Source organism: Homo sapiens, chromosome 7 (assembly GCF_000001405.40).
Source record: "Homo sapiens chromosome 7, GRCh38.p14 Primary Assembly".
NCBI classification, from domain to species: Eukaryota; Metazoa; Chordata; class Mammalia; order Primates; family Hominidae; genus Homo; species Homo sapiens.
In genome coordinates, this window is record NC_000007.14 from 52,854,502 (window position 1) to 52,860,501 (window position 6,000).

Sequence of the window (6,000 nt, forward strand, 5' to 3'; positions counted from 1 at the left end):
ACTTCCTAAGGCACTGCACTGCTTTGTGCAGATCCTGAGCAAAATACACATTATATGATGGAATCTTCAGCCAGTTTTCAGCTCAAATGCAAGACAATGCCCTCCTACTATAACTTTAGTGCTATAAATGAATATTTTAAATGAATTTAAACACCCAAGAGGAAGCTGCTATTTTCCCACCTTTGTATATCATAAGTGTCAAGAATATTTGCTTTGGGGCCCACTTTTTCATTTCGATATTTAGAAAGAGTCATGAAGAGAGGATTAAGGGAGAATCAGCACTGATGTCTAATTAAAACCAGAAATCATGTAGTTTGGACAGAAAGCAGGAAATGGATACAGGTGGATGTCAGAATATTTTAGTAAATTAGAGCAATCAGCAGTTTTTAGAAGTAGGTTTCACATACCAAGAAAGATATGGGCAGCACAAATGACTAGAGATTGCCAGCTGTGATAAGTCTAATTAGCATTGACACACTCTTGTTAAAACATCTGTGACATGTATATTAAAAAAATATAACTGTGAAATACAGAGTTCTATGGATCTTTAAGTGATTGTGTTTCAAGCAGACAGGTAGCAATTTAAAGGCAATTTGTGTAATAATAAATGATAATACAATAAAAATCTATTTAGGAGCATGGATTATTCCATTTTAAAAAAGATCGATTGATGGATAACAAAGAAAATTAAATAGAAAATAATAGAAAATGTCACTAACTCAATAGGGCATGCATTTTTGATGTTATAATAAAACTCATTCACATATTTTGTTTAAATTAGGGCCAACTGCTTGATTAACTATTCACCATGCATCATCTACTTAAAGGGTTGGGGACCTATGAACAGTCTCTATTACATTGAAGATGCCATTTTTTGTTTCTGAAATGGAACACTTTCAACACATTCAAAATTGTAAAATAAAAACAGTAATGTGTTGATTAAGGGGAATCACTTTCGTATCCCAAATAAACACTTTCATAGTTAATTTTTCCTTTAGAAAACAAAAACAACTTCCCATAACAAAAAATAGACATTGTGGTAGCTAAAATTCTCTTAATATAGAATAATTGTAATGATTGTGTTTGCACAGGTAATACACATGAATTTGGAACAATGTTTTTCAATTAAAAATATAATCAATTCTGAATTCTAGGTGGGAAAGCTTGGAAGAGAGCAGACAAGTAGTACAGACTTCTGGTTTTTACCCTTGGACCAAATATTAATAAAGGAATGCTGAGTTTGAGGGGTGGGTCTTTCCCACTCAAAGATTAGGAACAAGTTGTATTCCATCCATGGAGTCAGATGGGGCCCATGGGGCGTGTGTAGGTAAGGTGGTCAGTGAGAAACCCTCATAGCGGGTGTTGACTATAGCTAGAACAAATCGGAAGGTCACCCAGTGTTGGGTCTGGGAGAGAGACAGGAGCAAGTATGAGGAATAGGGGCCCATAGGGACCAATTTAGTGGCGCATTGGAGTGAAAGGGATGGCCCACGTGAAAGCGGCAAAAATTACTTCCATGAAGTATAAGCCATCTTCCTTTTTTAGAATGCTTCTAGAACCCAGCCGCCAATGGTGGAGAGGACTTAATGAATCATTGCCCTGAAGAGGAATGGAAGTAAGTTCTACAGTGACATCTTTGACTTCACATCACTTGACATAGTGATTGTTGAGGCTGATAAAGATGATTCTACGTTACCTTTCATCATTTTCTGTCCGTGTTTTCTCAACAAATTTCTGATTATTGGCTTCCAAAATAGATTTTCTAGAGAATATATTTCAGTCATCAATAGTAATTTCTTATAATTATACATTGCTTTGTATATAATATGTTGCCATTATAGTTGATGTCTCAGCCTCTGCTTGTGGGCACTGATCTACAATAGACAATACACCTGGTTGTAGGGGTATAAAGAGTTTATTCAAGGCCGAGATCAGGCCTTGACTTAGTTTGACGTTACCAAGCCAGCTCAAATCTGAGAAGACCTGCCAAGAGATAAACCAATTCAGCTGAACATTCTTAAATTCTGTATTTCACAATCCCTAAACCAAAATAAACAATCTTGTATAGATTTTCGTAGCAGTCAAGATAGTTTCTATTTGAAATACAGTTCTCAGAAAGATTTTACCGTGTGTAAGACCATATATTATCTCATTAATGATCTTAAGGCCTTTATTGCAGGACACTAAGCCACTCATCTGAAGAAATTAGTTAATCAAAAGATGATTTATTTACCAAGCTACAGCATCCCGACACACAGGATAACTGGATGTGCTTTTCCTTTATTTAATTCTGTTTTCACTTATCGAGTACCTGCTCTGGGCAGAAACCTGGGTTAGTCAGTCTGTGGTAATGAAACATAATTTGCCATTAAACGAAGGCACAAAAAAAACAAGAAGTGGACAGACCTAGAAACTACAGACTTCATCAGAAATTAAAAGTCATATTTTGGTATAACAAAAAAAAAACTACCTCCCTATCCATTATACACTGCGCTTATTACTGTGGAAACATTTTATTAATGTTTGCAAGAGGCAAGGGTCATATGTAAAATAGCTAAAAACTTGTAAGGCCAGCAAATGATCAGTCAGAAGGTTAAAATTTGGATACCTCCGAGCTCCCTGCCAGGTGTTCAAGCTTTAGTTGCTGGGCTAGCGTGCGTGAAGCGGGTCCTGGACTACTGGAGTGTCAGGGTCCCTCAGGCAGAACCTGTTCAATATTTTAACAGCTGATACAGCTGAATAACAGCCTGGATAATACCTGATGCATTGCTTTCCTCATTTTTCAGGTGAAGAAACTTGGGGCTTAAAGAGGCTAAGTTATTTCTCTTTGGTCACAGAACTAAAGTGTTGAAGCTGAAATTTGAATAAAATACTTTCTGATTCCAAAGTCTATGCTCTTAATCTCTCTTCCATATGTGTTACAATAAGTGAGCAAACACTGCTAGTTTTGCTTGGGGGAAGAAATAGCCAAGTCTGACTGAAGATATTTGAGGACACTGCAGAGAGTCTGGGCCTTAAAGGGGTAATCAGATTTCAGCCCACATTTAATTCCCAGTGTAATTGATAGAAGATATGTAGGCACGCTCATTTCCCAGAGATATAATCATTCAATGCTTTGGGTGAGTCATGTACTCTTATATTTATGCCTCTCCCATGATTAAAAGAAATTCTCTTTAGTACTTAATCCTGAATTAGATATTCCTATGCTCAGTTTCTCAATTTTCAAGGGGCAATTACTTTGTTATTTTGATTTAAACTTCTTCAGTTTGTTAGCCTCAATCCTTATAATATTTAGAAGTAGCTTCTAACATGCTGAAATTTCTGAAAAAGTGTCATATATGAATAGATCTCTTTTATTAAATGAGAGAAGATTCCTGATATCCAACTCAGGGATGAATGAGCAGGGAGGTGTTGGCCTGATTGATGAACCGGATTCACCTCTGGATCCCTTCTGTATATGAGACACGAGGCTTCCCGAATCCTGGCTCTTCCCTTCCCAGCCTGTGCCTCTGTCAGTTACTCACCCTTCCTGAGCACTTTTCATTCGTGCTCCAGCCTACTTGGGGGCCTCATGGCCATCACGCTCTTGTAATAATGAAGTTCCTCCTGTTATTAAAAGATGTTTTATGTATATATAATGTATGTTTTATGTATATTAATTAAATATACGTAAAAACGTCTTTTAATAACAGAAAGCCTGTAGTGCTTTTAGAGCTATGATACAAGGGCATGCAAGGGCAGTAAACAAATCTGTATCTGACCCAGAAGATGACACCATGTGTTACTGGAGAGTGCTTCTGTGGTTGAATTAAATGAAGAAGTGATGTCCTCTCTCTGTTCAGGAGACCTGAAAACTGGAATAGAGAAGCTTGTAAGATGACTTATTTCCAGTGGGATTTCTTTATATGAAGATATGTGAGTCTTTCTTGATCAGGCACTGTCTGCTGCTGACATGTGGGTTGGGGCCAGGTTGTTCTTTGGGCCACATTGTTCTTCTCTAGATATTGACAATTATGTAAACCTAGGGTGAGGCTACCAGTGACCATTCCAACACCATCATTGGGCTTCCTGGCTATTTCTGCAGACTAGCTCTACTCATAAGTGAATTTCATTGATTGCTGTTACCCCTGGTCCTTCCATCCAAACTTATGGCGTATACCACCGATATCCTGGTGTTCTCAGCAACAAAACTGATGGGAGGAATGTCCATTCTGTGTGTACTGAGATGGGCTTGGATGTGTGTGTGGCAATACTTAGCGAATGGAAGAAAGAGTTAGTATGAAATGTATTCAGCAAGAAATAGTAAAGAAATAGATAGCTTACAAAAATCCAAAGTGTGCTTGGTAAATATGTTGTTGTCAAAACTGGTAAATATGTTGATGCAAAAACTAAATCTTACTTATCTTTGTAATCCAGGTTCAGTCGCTGTCCCTAGTATATAGATATCATTCAATAATTGTATACTAAATTAAACTGATATATTTGTGTAAATTTGCAGATAGAAGAGAATTATGCCAACAGAGCAAGAAAAACTAGAGACTAGGGAGAGATAAAATGAATTTGGCAGTGAGAGGGTATTAATTAAATATGGATGGGCAAGAAAGAATAAGCAAGCTGCAGATAAGAAAATCATGGAGCAGTGAATGAAACAAATTAGAATTAGAATTCCTATGTATCTAGACATGCATGACTTTACTTATACCCTCCATTCATTGCACTCAGTGTCTCGGGCAGGAGTGGAGAAAGAATGGAGCTGTAGAAGCATGAATCAAAATAAAAACATAGGGGTATGGTATAATTTTTTTTGCACGTGGCAGTCCCAAAATATGTACAAATATGGCTTCTGGAGATTTCCAAGTGGATGTTGCATTATTCCTTAAAATCAAAAATTTAAAGCCCTACATTATGTACTGTGCCTCTTCTAACAGACTTTCTCAATCACCAGAATTACCTCTCTTCTAGACATCATGAGCTAAGCACGTTATCAGGAAAACTGCATTTGATCTTCACAGTAGTCACAGAATTGGAAATGGCTATGCCATTTCACAGATGGGGCAAGTGAAGTTTACAGAGGTTTAAGACGTGCAGTTTTATCCTTGGTTCCACTGGCTCCTAAGCCAATGATTTTAACTGCTGTGTTAACAATTGCTTTTCTGATGTGGTCCAAAGCAATTTGCTTGTACCTGTATCTTAGTATATACATTTGGGTTTGCTTGAGTTGTCAATTATTTACACAGTTCTGTGTCCTTTTCTTGCAAGATTCCTGAGGGCTTAAAAAATAGCAGGGTTGGGGGTGGTTATATACTAATTTTCTCTGAAAATCCTTAGTTTTGGGGACTAGAGCATGGTGATTTGCACATATTAGGCACTCATACTGATTAGTCAATAAACAAGGTAACCATATTTTTATAAGGATTATAGTAGACTTCCTTACTTGAAAGCAGCTAAATAGCCAAATTTGTCTAAATTTGTCAAAGTCAATTAAACTATGCCCAATAAAATAGAATAAAATTGAGAAACAAAATTCAGATTACCTAGTGATTAGTACTTGATCCTATTAGATTTTTAAAAGCAAAGACCAGAGAGCTTGCAGCCTGCTTAAGGACACACCACCAATTGGCAACAAACTCTATTAAACAAAATGAATGCTAACTGTCGTCTGCTGGAAAAACAAAGCTCTGGGGCACACAGACTCCCTTTAGCAGGAGCAGCCCTATTTTATCTGCTTTAAATATTATGCTGCCAAGTTTATTGAAAAAACTGTTTCACAGCTAAATATATTTTAAAAGCCCTGTTTTAGGAATTAGGCTCACAGTTTCTGAGGAGAGTCTTACCTTAACCAGAGACTTTAGATTATCACATGAGCAGACATACATTCACTTTTTTCTCTGTCCAAAAGCTAAAAGTAGGTTTTCTCAATCTCCAGCCCCACAACATGATTATAGTCATCAATTTCTTATACCTGTAATTATAATATGAGGCATGAAATATGTGTGTGTG